The sequence below is a fragment of the Homo sapiens genome, chromosome 8 (genome assembly GCF_000001405.40).
Source record: "Homo sapiens chromosome 8, GRCh38.p14 Primary Assembly".
Lineage (NCBI taxonomy): Eukaryota > Metazoa > Chordata > Mammalia > Primates > Hominidae > Homo > Homo sapiens.
Genome location: NC_000008.11, coordinates 9,592,214 through 9,609,006, shown reverse-complemented (window position 1 = coordinate 9,609,006; position 16,793 = coordinate 9,592,214). Strand labels below are relative to the sequence as shown.

At 35.7% G+C, this 16,793-nt stretch overlaps 1 protein-coding gene across 3 annotated transcripts in view, besides 2 other annotated features; it reads right to left on the bottom strand.

Annotated features, from left to right (window-relative positions):
- TNKS (tankyrase) overlaps positions 1-16,793 on the bottom strand; it is a 226,435-nt gene that overhangs the window by 173,340 nt on the left and 36,302 nt on the right. The gene's annotated exons all lie outside the window — the stretch shown is intronic.
- Positions 87-136: an enhancer, noted in NCBI's record as "active region_26986". NCBI's record gives its function as "activates an Ori minimal core promoter by ATAC-STARR-seq in GM12878 lymphoblastoid cells {active_cell/tissue: GM12878}" and the evidence as "EXISTENCE:reporter gene assay evidence [ECO:0000049][PMID:35858748]".
- Positions 16,376-16,595: an enhancer, noted in NCBI's record as "active region_26985". NCBI's record gives its function as "activates an Ori minimal core promoter by ATAC-STARR-seq in GM12878 lymphoblastoid cells {active_cell/tissue: GM12878}" and the evidence as "EXISTENCE:reporter gene assay evidence [ECO:0000049][PMID:35858748]".

Below are 16,793 nucleotides of genomic sequence, written 5' to 3'. Positions count from 1 at the left end.
TTAAATAAAACTTTAGTTTCCAGCCATAATGGAGTAACTGGTATCAGACTAGCTTTCCCTCTCTGACATAACCGATTATGAAATTGGAGAAAATAGATGAAGCAACTAACTGCAGGCAGTAGCCAGCTGCAGTTGTAAACAGTGATCCCTGAAAGAAGAGAAACTCACAAGATGGGTACCATAATCACCCAACTCTCTGCCTAACACAATTTGCCAACCACATAAACACAACAAGAGTCAAAGCAGAACATGGTGGTTACACTGAACTGAGAAGACAGAAATCCAAACTCAAGGCAGAAGAATTGGCTGGAGTCTGCAGGATGGGAAACTAGAGAAGAAGGATCTGTGCAGAGAGCAGGCCCCAGATGTCTGTGAAGGAGTCCCCAGGGATCACATGGCTGGGCTGGGCTGTACCTGTGCAGGACAAAACCCCTGAGGCTTATTTGGCAATAGCTGCTAGGGACTGAGAGCACAACAAAGTGAGTAGAGGTCGCAAGGTGCTAGAGAAAGAGCAGTGCTGAAAGAAATTGCAATTCTAGCCTTGAGAAAGTAAAGAGAACCTAAAAAAAAAAATCGCCTTGTTAACACACCTGACGCACCTTAGCATCAACGTTAGTTATGAATAAGCAGCATGACCTAGAACAGAGAGCCAGGATCTACAAAGTCAAAACTATTTTTATGATAACATTAAGATATTATTCCTTTGTTTCATTATATTAACATTTGCACTGATGATGCAACAGAGGAAAAAACTACTGATAACACAAGCTGAGCATGGTGTCTCATGCCTATATTCCCAGCACTTTGGGAGGCTGAGGTGGAAGAATTGCTTAAGCCTAGGAGTTTAAGACCAGCCTGGGCAACATAGGGAGACCTGGACTTTTCAAAAAGTAAAAAAATGAGCCAGGCGTGATGGCACGCACCTGTGGTCCCAGCTATTCGTGGGGCTCAGGTGGGAGGATCGCTTGAGCCTCAGGAGGTGAAGGCTGCAGTGAGCCATGATCGCACCACTGCACTCCAACTTGAATGACAATGTGAAACCCTGTCTTAAAACTAAAATAACACAAATCAAGGCGGTGTCATCAACATCTATTAGTGATTATTACATTCTTCACTATAAAACATATATGCAGTCAAAAAAAAGGAGTGTTTCACATTAGAATGCCCCTGACAAAGCAGTAAAATTACTGCATTTTATTAAATATTGACCATTAGATTTCTTTAAAATATTCTCTGTGAAGAATTAGAAAGTACTTATAAAGGGCTCCCAAATTCATAGACTTTTCTGCTGACATGGATATAAAATAACAAATGTAATTATTTTATATAGTATAATACAACATGTTAACAAGTTAGGCCTCACTTAGGAAACGAGTATTTTTGATACGACAAATGGAAATCATTACAAAATCATACATAGGTACATAGGCAAAGATGCTTTGCAAGTGTAAGACGACCAGTGGATTGTGATGTTACAGAGTGCAAAAGGTTTTCTGACATGACATGGTTTCAGATTCCACATTGCAGCTAACCACTAAGAAACTACCATTTGTCCAGTTTGCATGTGGAATCAAAGAAGAATATCCACAATTATTGGAAAGGTTATTGATATACTCTTCCCTTTTCTAACTATAAATGTAGATCTTCTTCAGATATTTCAACCCCAAAAAGCCTATCAGAAAAGACTGCATACACAAGCAGAAAAGAGAATCCTGCTGTCTTCAATTAAGTCAAATATGAATAACATTTGCATAAATGTAAAATGATTCCACTCTTAGGATTATTTTTTGTTTTGGAAAACAATTTTTCAAAAAATGTTACTCATGCTAACATGCAGTAAGCTTGCTATTTGCTAAATGAAATAATTTTTTAAACTTCTTTTTTTAATATCTAATACAATATGCATGACCCCCATAAAAGCTCTGTGGAACGCTCAATAATTTTTAAGAATGCAAAAAGAGACTAAACATTTGAGAACTTGTCCCCTAGAATAAGCCCTAGTCTAGACACATAATACTAATAAAGCCCAAAACCGAGGCAAAACAAGGTCTGCAGAAGAGACAATCTTAAAGAAACATGGGAAACACCTTGGGCTTTCCACAGATCTGCACTAACAAAGCTTAAAACCAAACCTCCATAAGTTAAGGGTGATTTTAAACCAGCAATAAGGTGATCTGCTAAAACAAGAATAAAAATTCTTCAGAGGAAGATAATAAACATCACAGAGTGACTACCATGTCCACTACTGAATAAAAAATTATTAAACATATAGAGAGAAAGAAAAATGTGATCTGGTCAAGAAAAAACACTAAAAATCATACCCAGCATATCCCAGATGTGTTAGGGTTAGTTAGCAAAGACCTCAAAGCATCAATTATAAAAAATTTCAAAGACTTAAAGAAAATAAATTCCAAGAATTAAAGGAAAGTATGGTCTTAAGAAGTGAAACATAGACATACTCTGATAATCAAGTGGGAAACTGTGGAACTAAAAAGTTGAAGGACTCACACTACCTAATTTCAAGATTTATCATAAAGCTCTAGTAATCAAGACAGTGCAGTACTAGAATAAGAATACATATAGATATAATAGGACTTCTGCAATTATTGGAGTTGCAAGTTAAACTAGCTACTTTGTGTTATGAAGCATAACTTCCAATTGAAAAACTATGTTATTCAGACTTGGGTATGTAAACCAACAGAACAGAAGACAGCTCATAAATAAAGCAACATATAGGGAGTCAACTGACTTTTCAACAAAGGAAGCACAGTAATTCAACGGTGGAAAAATAGCCTATTCAACAAATCATGCTGAAACAACGGATTCTCTATATAGAAAAGAAAAAAAAAAAACACAAAATAACTCTTACCGCACACCACACAAACACATTAACTCAAACTGGACTACAGACTTGACATAAAAGACTTAACATAAAAAAGACTTAATAAAATCTGTTAAAGAAAACATGAAAGAAAAATCTTCATGACCTCGGGATGCAAAGATTTCTTAGGAGAAAAAGAAACTAAGCCTTAAAAGAAAATACCAATAAACTGTGTTTTATCAAAATTAAGAACTTCTGTTCTTCAAAAGTCACCATTAAGAACATGAAAAGGCAAAACACAATCTAGAAGAAAATATTTGCAACACATATGTAAGACAAAAAACTCTTCTAGATTAGAGAAAGAACTTCTACAAATCAATCATTAAAAGGCAAACAATACAACTTGAAAAATGAGCAAGAGACTAGGGCATTTCACAGAAGAAGATATATAAATTACTAGTAAGTCCATGAAAAGATGCTCAACATTATTAGTCAACAGAAAAATACAAACTAAAAAGACTGGCAATACCAAGTGTTAATGAGGAGATTCTAAACTGGAACTCTAACACATTACTTGTGGGCATTACAAATGAATGGTTTAACCATTTTGGAAATCAGTTTAGCAGTTCCTTATATAGCTAAATATACACTACTGTATGTCCTAGCATACATACTTAGTCTTAAGTATTTACTCAAAAGGAAACAAACCAAAAACCCATGTGTCCACACAAAAGACTTGCATGTGAATGATCATATGTTTATTTATAATAGTCAAACATTGAAAAAAAATCTGAAGCAAACTATAGCTCAGTCATACAACAGAATACTACTCAGCAATAAAAAGAAACAAACTTTCGTTTCATACAACAGGGATGAAATCTCCAAAACTTCAAAACATGATGAGCAAAAGAAGCCAGACACACAAGAACATATTTCTAGAAGGGAAAATTAATCTATAATGTCAGAAAATAGATCATTGTTGACTGGGGATGGCTGACAAGAAGAAAAATTGACTGCAGATGGGCACCAGACAACTTTTTGGAGTAAACAAAACTGTTGTATTATTTTGATTAGAGTGGTAGTTATATGGGTATACACATTTGTCAAACCTCATTAAAATGTATACTCAAAATATATTCATTTTATTTCATTACTTCAAACTTGATAAAGTTGATTTTTATGTTATACAAAACTAATATTTTAAAAGCTTTATAGAGGGTCTGACTGTGATTAGAAACAGCTAAAGAGAAAATTGCTGAACTGGAAAATATGACAACCAGTATTTCCAAGACTGAAGTACTGAAGTATACAGAGGAAAAAGAGAGTAGGATGGATAAAAGATGGAAACTAAAAGGCCTAACATGCTGCAATTAGTCTTAGAAGAAAAGAAAAAATAAAAATAAAAATAAAATATATATATACATACACACATACATATGTATGTATTTACAGAGCTAATGCCACAGATTTTCCTAGAACTAATAGAAGACCCCAATCTACAGGTTCAAGAAGCACCAACAGGATAAATTCATTAATCATTTAGAAAAAGTTTTTCACACATAAATTAGGAACAACAACTATAAGAAGGTAGCTAACTCAAGAGAAAGCATGCAAGTTAAGAAATTAATAGTACATAAACTACACTGAAGAAAGAAAATTTTAGTGAGCCTAGCTTAATATACGTTATATATGTTAGGCAGATACTTAATTACAATTCCATTTCCATTGAATTCTATTTAATTCTACTACCAACTTGCAAAAAGCAATTATTTTGCAGCTGTAAAAACCCCATATTCCTATTCTTGGAATAGATTGAAGTTTGGTGATATCAATTAAATTATGTTACACTGTTTAAAATATTTTAAATAAATGGCAAGAGTAAAGTAGATACACTCAAAGGTTTTGTACATACAGTAGTATATGTACAAAAGGTAATAAAACAGGGATGAAATCTCCAAAACTTCAAAACATGATGAGCTCAATGTACAGTGAACATAATATATCTACACTGAGGTAATGTGCCTATAATGCATATATAGTATCCTGCAACTAAGGCATAATCTATGTCTGATTAGCCAAATCAGAGAAACAAAAACAAATCAAAACTCTTTGATATAAATGTAGTACTTATTTTCATTTGCAAAATTTCGCATTTTTAAAGAATTTTACTTCCTCTTTTTATTTCTTTTTAGAATCCTCTTCAATTATTAACATCTTTGTTTTTTTAACAGAAGAGTTTCACCTCTGAATAAACTACTCATTGAAGTTCTTTGACTTCTACCATTCAAAGAAAATAATCACTGACTCTGTATACCAGATTAAATTTGAGACACAAAAAGAGTGATGAGTTCTGTTCTCTCTTAATATCCTCGTGCTATTATGTTTCTCTTGAGAACATAAGATAAACATTTCTTTGATGCACAATGGTATCTTCAGCACTGAATGAGCGGTGACATTCACTTAATAAACCAGGGTTCTTCTTTCAACTTAATTAATATCCTTTGGAGGAACCTATGAGAACCTCATCATATCATGTACAGCCTATTGTGCCTTACTCATAAAGCTCTTCTAAAATAGAGATTTAAGAACAGGTATTCTAGTACAATGAACAGGGAACTGAACTGGGTGTCAGGAGAAAAGTTTAGAAGTAATGGTTGTGTGGTCTTAGCCTGTTCTCTTTAGCAATAAAATGGTTAGTAACTTCCCAGTGTTCTAGAGTTATGCTGCCCAATATGGTAGCTACTAGCCACATGTGAGTATCGCATTCTTGAAACGTGACTAGAGAAACTGATAATCTGAATTTTTAGTTGCATTTTAAAAATCATAGTTAAGGTCAGGCGTGGTGGCTCATGCCTGTAATCCCAGCACTTTGGGAGGCCAAGGCGGGCGGATCACTTCAGGTCAGGAGTCCTCAAGCCCAGCCTGGTCAACATGGTGAAAACCTGTCTCTACCCAAAATAAAAAAAGTAGCTGGGTGTGGTGGCGTGCACCTGTAATCCCAGCTACTTGGGAGCCTGAGGCAGGAGAATGGCCTGAAACTGGGAGATGGAGGTTGCAGTGAGCCAAGATCGCGCCACTGTACTCCAGCCTGGGCGATAAAGCGAGACTCCATCTCAAAAAAAAAAAGTCATAGTTAAATTTAAAAATTGATAGTTGATTCAGTTATTGGTAAATGTTTAATATATTTAGGACACCTTGTGTATGTAAACCTAGTTTCTCAACTACAAATTTTATGAAACCCAAATATAGATCAAGTATTGATCATGAAAACGTTGTTTCAATTGAGATATGCTTTAAGTATAAAATATACAACAGATAGCAGAGATTTAGCTGGAAATAATGTTAAAAATCTCACTATTGTTTTAGACACATTACATGTTGAAATAATACTTGAGATACATTGAGTTAAATGAAACATTATTAAGTTGGTATCACATTTCTTTTCTATGTGGCTAATAGAAAATGTTAAATTACATATATGTGTGGCATTACATTGCTAATGAACAGTGCTACTCTAAAATATAGAGTCTCCATTTGAACTACTGACATTCTTGACCAGCTAATTCTTTGCTGGGCGTGTAGGTGTAGGCTACTGGCTCCACCAGGTGCTCTGGAGACTCCGCTAGTATCCTCACAGGCTACAATGATAAAGACATGAACCTCAGTTAATCTGAGTGGTGGCTCAATGCCTTGTGATACCCTGGGAACAAGAGAGGATGGGAAGCTGTCATGAGGCAGTATCTCATCACTTCCCATTTGTGAGGAGGCGTGGGCTTTCTGCCTCTCTCTCTTCTACTGGCTCTTCCAAAACAGGGTATTCCACAACTCTCAGTGCAGTCCTTTGGCCCTTTTCCTTTCAGTGTCATCCTGCGATACGTAGACCATGGGGAGCTGGTACTTTTAGCTTCCCCTTCTTTTTGCTGTCTACGTAAGTAATCAACTAGCTAAACCTACAAGTGGCTTGTTGCATCTTTAACAGCCTAAGTAGTCAGGCTCGGGCTTTTGCCACGGCTTGTCTGTTGAATGCACTTAACGGCGGGGAGCTGTCCTGTGTGTTATGTTTAACAGCACCCCTTACCTCTACCCACTGGATGCCATTAACACTCCCCAACTGTGATAACCAAACATGTCCCCAGATATAGCTAAATATGCCCTCTAAGGGGTAAAACTGTCCCTGCTTGAGAACGTCTACTCTTTAGGTTCCTATGGACCCGTCCCCACCTCCTCATACACATGCAAGGCTTCTCCCGGGCCTCTGAACGCTTTTATATATTGGGCTACTGCATTATATTTCATTTGAAGAAAGATTTATGTGGTTTCTAAACATAAGAAATAAGTAAAGCAATAAAGTAAAACTGTAAATAAGTAGAAAAGATAATAGTAGTAAATAGTAAAGATGATCTCTAAGTATCCTTCTAAATTTAAGGTGCTGTGGTCTATAAATATATCTTTGAGTACTGACTTTATCAAATAGAGCTTTTTTATCACAAAGGATAAAAAACTACTTCAGCTACCTTAATAACAGGAAAATTTATTAAAGAATAGAGGTATTCCATTGAACGCAAAGGCAAAAATGTGCCTCAAAATTCAGGTGTTGCTGTCTTTCTCTGTCTCCCAGACATTCCCCTGAGATACAAACACATACGCCTGTATTATCTCAATCTTAGTTCCAAATTATCATGAAAGAGAATTTGGTCCAGCTTGGCTCAGCATCTGGTTCTGGACTTAAAAAGTTTGGCCAAGGAACTAGAAGAGGCAATACAAACAATGATGATGGGGAAAGAGGCATTGGTTCTCAGCAAAGAGTACTTGTGCAGATATCTCAATGAGTAGCTACTGCAATAATACATGTTAAATTCAAAGTTTTAACACGTGTTAAATTTAAAGTTCATGTTTTAAAAATATGTAAATAGATTTATATGTGCAAATGGGTTCATAACAGAGATAAAAAAACTACTTCAGCTACCTTAACAACAGGAATATTTAGTGTTATATCTGAAAGTGAAATAAACGGGATTTCCACTTTCTATTTTATACATTTCTACACTGTTTTAGTATTTATTACATATATGTGTTATTTTTATAATGGGATATTGATCCTCAGACAAAAATGATCTTTATGCATGCTGTTTAATATGTGTGCAAAACAATGCTTTTTAAAAGCTCTTGCTTACAGAAATTACTTTGTAACGAATAAAGAAAAATTGGATCATTCTTCCTATCAAATGACTAACATTAAATATGGTAACAGCAATGGATAAGACAAATGTGAAATAAATCTATTAATTTAGATTCTGTAATAATGCTGACTGTAGAAACAAATTGAGTAAAATAGTGAAGGGATTATTTCAAAAATTCCAGGGTTTTAGTCATACTTTCATATATGAAAGTCTTTGTCTTTCATATAAAAGTGACCCAAAATTCAGAATTCTGTCAACATCTGGGACTAGCATACTTGGAACAAATTAATTTCACCCCAGTGAACTATGTGTCTCATTACATGTAACTTTTTTTTCCAAGTACGTCAGTGGGAAAAAATAAAAACTGCATTTCTTTTTTAAAAAAAAGTTCAGCCAGGCGCAGTGGCTCATGCCTCTGAAATCCTACCATTTTGGGAGGCCGAGACCAACAGATCGCTTGAGCCCAGGAGTTCAAGACCATCCCGGTCAACATGGCGAGACCTGTCTCTACAAAAAATACAAAAATTAGCTAAGCATGATGGTGTGCACCTGTACTCCCAGCTACTTGGGAAGCTGAAGTGGGAGGATCACCTGAGTCAAGGAGGTCGAGGCTGCAGTGAGCCATGATCACACCACTGGACTCTATCCTGACTGACAGAGTGAGACCCCATCTCAAAAAACCCCACAACTTTTAATTAAAATTCTTAAAAGTTCAAAAAAATAAAGTTCACTACAAAGTCTGCCATGGCAATATGCCATAGTTAGAGTTAAGAACACAGCTGTACTTCAGAGGCTGGCTTCTGGGGCCAAACTGCACAGGCTAGAATACCAGTTCTGCTGCCATTACTTGTGGGACCCTAGCAATTCCTTTACCTCTCTCAGCTTCCATTTCCTTGCCTGTAAATCAGGAGATAATATTAGAGTACCTATCTCATAGGGCTGTTAGGACAAAACAAGCCTATGCACATAATTTTTAGAGATATTAAAAAATATTTAATTACCCACTCAAAAATTCATCCATGTGAATAAAATTACTGAGTTTTACATGGGAGAGGTCTTCTATATATGACTTAATGAGTTAAATGCATCTCCTTCAATCTTTATGGACAAACTCTGGCATGAAATTTTACAATAATAAAAGAATCTTCCAATTCAATTTTGCGCCTGTTGTCAAGTTTACTTATAAATATAGAAAATCAAGACTTTTTTTTTTTAAAAAGGCACATCACATCTGCAGTAACTTAGGTATAGATTATTCTGTACATATACATAGCAGATTTTTATATCCCAGATCAATTTTATCCTTTTTGCAATGAACAAAGTTAATCCAGGACACAATACATTTGTAAAATCAGAATTATCTGCTCACATAACAATTTATTACAAGATAAGGCAGATACTGGAATAAATGTAAGATTGAGTGTAACAAAGTATCTCTCTTTCTACCTGGAAACTCAATAGAGAATAATGACTGAAAGTTCTGTCCCAGGAATCAGATAAACCTCAGTTTTAGAATACTGCTCAATCCTTAGTAACTGTCTGACCTTGGGCAAGTTACTTCACCACTGCCAATCTTAATTTCCTCTTTCATAAAACACTACCTAACACAGTGAATTGCTGTTACAATTAAATGTGACAATATATACAAACTCGGCTTGGCTCTTTGCACATAACAAGAACTCAATAAACACTCTCTCGTATCCCAATGAGAATCTTTTCATCTGTCTTTCAAAAATAGATATACAGTGCTAACAGAAGATCTGCTGGATTGAAATAAAGGTAAACTGATAATAGCCCTAGGAACAATGAATTCATTTGTGCCACACCTAACTGCTATATTATGCTTCTTTTTATTTAGGGGTAGATTACTTTTTCTAAACTTGACTAGATTCAACTAAATGAAATGTCCATAAGGAATAAAGCAAGTATCTCTACAATCTGACCAGGGAAATTTATAATAGGATCATAAAGCTTGCACAACTCTAAGGGACAATGACCACATGTAAAAGGTGCTTCCCAATCTGTTTATGAGACAGAAGAAGGGATAAACATGAGAAACACTTCATCAGTGTTTGTGAATCTTTCCCTAAACTGCTAACTCTACTTCCTCTCTCTCAAGGCCTCACGGACTTACTAGCATTCCAGATAAATTTCTTATGTGTGTAAAACATGAAGACCAATTCATTCATATATATATATATATATATATATATATATATATATATATATATATATATATACACACACACATATACATATATACACACACAGACACACACACACACACACACACACACACATATTTTAGACAAGGTCTTGCTCTGTGGCCCAGGCTAGACTGCAGTGGCATGGTGCAATCTCAGCTCACTGCAACCTCCGCATCACTGGCTCAGTTGATCCTCCCACCTCAGCCTCCCGAGTAGCTAGGACTACAGGCATGCACCACCATGCCCAGCTAATTTTTCTGTTTTTAGTAAAGATGGAGTTTCTCCATGTTGCCCAGCCTGGCAATTAATATTTTTATCACTAGTTACAAGGTTTAAACTTACATATTTAAAACATCCTCCCTCCCAAGGAAAACAGGATTAAACCTGTACCATAATAGTAATAATTTGATTCTGCTTTCAATTTTAGTCTCCTAAGAAAGTATATCATTACTGGCCGGGCGCGGTGGCTCACACCTGTAATCCCAGCACTTTGGGACGCCGAGGCAGGCGGATCACGAGGTCAGGAGATCAAGACCATCCTGGCTAACACGGTGAAACCCCGTCTCTACTAAAAAAATATAAAAAATTAGCCGGGCATGGTGGCAGGCACCTGTAGTCCCAGCTACTCAGGAGGCTGAGGCAGGAGAATGGCGTGAACCCTGGAGGAGAAAGTATATCATAAATATATCATTACTATTATTTTCCTATGCCTCTGACAACTGATTCAACAGACTGAAATGCCAACATTCTGCTGTACTTTCAATCTAAAGGACATAAAGAATATAACTTAAAGAATTCTCATTCCTTAGGAAAGTTATTTAGCTAAAAGCAAATAATTAAAAAAATAAACTGAGTTTTGTGTTTCCATGGGATTTGACACATTATCCTATTATCAATTGTTCTGAATGATAGTATTGAATCACATATTTCACTTCCCACCTCAACTTTTCCCCCACATTGAGGAAAAGACCACCTTTTTCTTTTAACATAATTCCTCATCTGTCCTTTTCCTTGTCTCATTCCTAGTGGGTTACAATTTTCAGAAACAGCAACTGTGATGTCTCTTGGCTTGAAAGAGAGCTGCTTACTCATGAGTAATCTGCTTTAAAAAATATTAACCAATTATTTCATACACTTAATATTTGGTTACAGCAAACCACGATACCCCTGCTATTGAAATATTTGTGGGGAAAATGTTTAAGTTACATTAACGATTCTCCATAATCCTATATGCAATATCTCCACTCACTAGGTTAAAAGAATCTAAATTACAATGAGGAAAAAAGAGCTTCATGTCTTATCAAATCACAACTCAAGTTTACAAAATTACAAAGGATACTAAACAAAGAATGTAACACAAATTCACGCTGATGGTAACAAAGAGCAGCTTATGGGAATGTCAGCCCTTCACTGAGCTTTGATTGAGTGTCCGCTTTGTGTCAGAATACAAAAATAGTCTTGTGTGGCAACCTTACTGTTGCATACAAGAAGAAAGCAAGTGGAAAGAAACAAGTATTTACTGAGACTCTACTTGCTTTCTCTATATTCTTTCATTTAACTTCCCATAAAAATTTTATGCAGTAGAGCCAACGTCCGTTTTATAATTAAGAAACTGAAGCTCAAAGCAAATGTGTAAAATCAGTCTGTATGTGATACATTGCAATTCATACTTAATTGTAAAGCCAAGCACTTATTTGCTATCTTAAATTCCATATAAATGCAAGCTAAGATTATCCCAGAACAATACTCAAGCTTTCTTCCCCAGAAGTAAATTCTAAAAGGCATATCTACATATTTGTCCTTAATACCTCGTATACCACTCCTATATTCAATGTCCTCTTCCTAATAAGCCCATCACAGTTCCCCTGTGGGAACGCTTGAAAAATACCTATGACAGTGAGAGTTCCATTTTAGGGGACCCACTAGAACATTTCCTGGCCTGGTTCCCTCAATCCTCAGAACTCAAGTTTATTCTTTCAAAAGACCAGCACTCAAACCTGTGTCATAAACAGGCAAAACAAAAGATGTGCCCTCTATCTCTAGCCATGATTATGTGTACCACAGTAAATTTAGAAATTTTCAGGCTTGACACAAAAGTCTGAAAGAGTTATTCAGATTTCAGATGTATTGATCCAAAATAAATGTATCTTTGGCTACACAGTGGGAATGCTTGGTAAGTCTTATTTATATGGTCATATCAGGGAGTAGAATATGAAATAACTCACAGTAAGGTTAACATTCTTAATCTTGGATTCTGCTTACATATGAAAAATCTAATACCCACCATATTTTTAAAAAGATAATTAGCAGATTTAAATAATACAAGACACTACGTTTTTTAAAAGTAAAGTACAAATGTAAAGCCTATAAATACAATTATTATACTTAATAGTTTTCTAGCTTGGTCAGTTGAGAATGAGAAGTAAGAAGGACTCCCTACATCTTTATCTCAAATATGGACCTACCTCCACATTTCAGTATTAAAACTGTACAAAGGGAAGCCATACTTCTAATAATATATGAGTTTCAGATAACATGATAAAGATGCAAAGCAAAATCTGCCTGGTTACACAACCCATTTGTCTCAAATACCATTTTCATACAACCCCAAACTTAAGCCATGTATCTCACTGAAAACTACAGTATGTATGTGTGTATGTACGTATGTATGTATGTATATATGTATTTTGAGACAGGGTCCCCTCTGTCACCCAGACTGGAGTCCCATGAAGTGATTATGGCTCACTGCAACCTGTACCTCCCCACTCAAGTGATCCTTCTGCCTCAGCCTTCCAAGTAGCTAGGACCACAGGTGTGTGCCACCACCCCCAGCTAATTTTTAAATTTTTTGTAGAGACAGGATCTCACTTTATTGCTCAGGCTGGTCTCAAACTCTGAACTCAAGCAATCCTCCCACTTTGGCCTCCCAAAGTGCCAAGATTAGAGGTATGAGTCACTGCACCTAACCTAACCCATAGATTGTTTTGAACAATTGAAGTGAGTCTAAAAGTAAATGCAAATGTGTAATGCTTTTATTAGACAGACAGACCTGGGCATTAAGTAAAGCCTTGCATCACTGTAAAAAAGTATATGAAAATTTTTTTTCTAGTTTTTTGCTTTTTCCACCTAATTTAAGCATCTTCAATGTATTTCTTAAGGCCTTGGAAGAGTGAAAGCTTCCATACGGGTGCTTTTCCTGGAATTCTAATAAAACACAATTAATAAGTACATAACATATATATATGTTATGTGTATATCTACCACTATTGTACAGAATAACTGTTAAAACAGTCCCAATTTTATCAGGTAAATGCACACTACTCTAACCTTCCTGAAAGCAGTTGGAACACAAGCAGACAAGTCATCAACGTTAAGAGTACTCAGTGTCAGCGGAGATTATTTCCAAAGGCACAATGACTCTCATTCTGGGCCTCTCTTCTCTGTTTTAAGGATACAAGTATGGAATTTTGTCATCTTTGTTTTTTATGAAAATGCTACACTGAGACTTGTTTAAAAGATCCCAATTCAAGGGTGCCTGTAATCCTAGCTACTCAGGAGGCTGAGCCAGGAGAATTGCTTGAACCTGGGAGGCAGAGGTTGCAGTGAGCCGAGATCACACATTGCACTCCAGCCTGGACAACACAGCAAGACTCCGTCTCAAAAAAAAAAAAATACCAATTCAGGTTTTATATGGACAACTAATGGTAAAAATGCAGAAGGGAAGTATTCTGGCAGGAAAAGGAAAGACATTAATGAAACAAAACCAAGTGAATCAGATTTTCAAGGCTTCACTGAATTTTCAACTAATTTTTGCAAACAGTAAAGAAGGTGTGAGAAATGACTTTTCTTAACCTAGCTCATTTATAAATGATATATAAATAGACAGTGTGACAAACTAAATCAAGAGGTCCAGTGAAGTTCTCCAGTAGCTAAAACTTCTTTGGTCCTTATTAAGAAGCTGTGGCTTTCCAGGAATTTATCCTAAAGCAATTAAGATTTATACATATATGTAATGAAAAGGATATTCTTTATACTACTGTTTATAAAATGGTACAAAAATAGCCTAAATGGCCTACAACAGGTGACTGATTTTAAAAAATGATGATTTCTATATAAATAATTCTTAGAAGCCTTTAAAATGAGATTATATAAAAATATTCACTGACAATAAAATATGTTACTACATAAAGTAGAAAAATAAATAAATAATATGGTGGAATGATCTCATTTTACGTAAAATGGATTGTATACACAGGTTCACTGGGTCTAACAGCACTGTCCAACAGAACTTTCTGTGATAACAAAAATTTCTATGTCTACACTCTCCATTACGATAACCGATAGCCAGATACGGTCATTAAGCATTTAAAACACGGCTAGTGCAACTGAGAAACTAAATTTTTAATTTTTAAAACTGTAATTGATTTTAATTTAATGGCTATCACACTGGACCATGCAAGTCTAAATAGACAAAAAACAAGGTGTGAGAGTTATCATCAGTATATTTTCTCATTTTTCTTTAATGGGCAACTATCACTTCTAATAATGCTGTTAAGAAAAAACCCAGAAAGTTGTTAACCTTCAAAATACTATACTTAAAATAACAGGAGATAGCCGGGCGCAGTGGCTCATGCCTGTAATCCTAGCACTTTGGGAGGCCGAGGCAGGTGGACCGCCTGAGGTCAGGAGTCTGAGACCAGCCCGGCCAAAATGGCGAAACCCCATCTCTACTAAAAATACAAAACATAGCCATGCGTGGTGGCGGGTTCCTACAGTCCCAGCTATTCGGGAGGCTGAGGCAGCAGAATTGCTTGAACCCAGGAGGCAAAGGTTCCAGTGAGCTGAGATCGTGCCATTGCACTCCAGCCTGGGTGACAGAGTGAGACTCCGTCTCAAAAAATAATAATAATAATAATAATAAATAAATAAATAAATATCAAGGGATAAGAATGTACCAAAGGCAGTTGAACACTCATTCCACATTTCTTTCCCCCATCCCCAATCCCGTGCCATTCCAAGTTCCAGGATGTTAACTTCATCAAAGGACAAGTAACCATGGAAGTGGTCAGATAATTTTTTAAACTAAAAGACTTTGTAAAAGGAAATGAAACATATCTTTCTAAATAGCAGACACACAAAAGGAAGTTATAAGGAAATTAACAGAGAGGTATTACTTTAGGAGTAAGTTACACTTGGTTTAAATTTTTGTAGACAGGTTAGTTTTTTGGTTTGGGGGGAAGGGGGTTTGGTGAAGATTATTTTCCACCTTAAGTTTGCTAAATATGATACGGTTTTAAAAGCTAAGCTAAAAATAATTTAAAAGAATTAATTTGGCAGACTTACAGAATGAAATTAACCTTTTATATGTATGATGTATTCTTAAATGAAGCCCACTGTGTGAACAGAACCTTCATTTCTCAATTAAGAAAACATTTCCATTATAACAACTTTCTATCAGCTCTACAGACTGTGGCAAAGTAACAACTTTCTCCTTCTTCACTGGTAAACTGGTAGGTAATCTGAATCATCTGCCTCACACACAGGACACAAATATTAGTGACACTGCTTGGCTAAGTCCTTTGAGAGGCCTCGAGGGAAAACCCTTTACAATATTACGTATCAACTATCCACAGCAACTTTTATAAATTTACCACCATCACCTTATTTTTTCTTATCCCTCCCTACCTCAACTCCTCAGCTCCCAAGAGGGGCAATTCATGGGTTTAATCTGTAAGTTAACAAGAAAAAATGTTTTACTATCCTTTGTGGAAAACCCATTATAACCAAAAGTTAATGCATGATCAGAATCAATATTCAACTGCCCATCCTAATGAAGAATAAGCAGTTACTTGACAAATGGAAGATAATCTAAACATAATTTGCATATGACTATAAAATGTGTTTTATATTTGTATATGAATATTGAAGTGTCTGACATACTGCAAGTTCACATTGCTTTAAAATAAAGGAATCTCAAGATATCACCTAATCAAGAAGTAGAAAATTACTCAGCTTCCTTATCCATGTAACACAGAGTAATATAAAAAAAAGTCAGACAGAATCAAGCCTTCTTCCAGTGAACTGCTTTGTCACTTCACACACGTTTCTTGAATATAATTAGACATCAGTGATAGACAATAAGAATACGTATGAAAGTGGACAAGATTATTGTTAGTTCCTACCACAGAGAACGTGGTACATGCTTAACTTCACACCTTACCTGATTCAGTTTAAGAATCTGGCACCTCATCCTGTGGCTGTGTTAGAAAGTAAACATACTCAGTGCACAGAGAACTACTCTACTTCTAGACGCCAAGAAGAACAGGAAGTTTACAATATACTAGAACTATAAAGACCAGTCTTTGAGTCTTTAATCTGTTTGTATTTCCTGTCTCCTAATACCGGGAATATGAAAAGTATGAGAATTCTACTAAAGCCAGTAAGATGAAGAAATAGCTAAAAGAACATCTGTGAGTCTTTTGATCCTTGAAAAGCAGATAATGTTCACAATGCTAACAGAACACATTAAAGGAAAACACAAACCAAAAAAAATTTAAGTATTGGGAATTAATAAGTCTTCGTTTG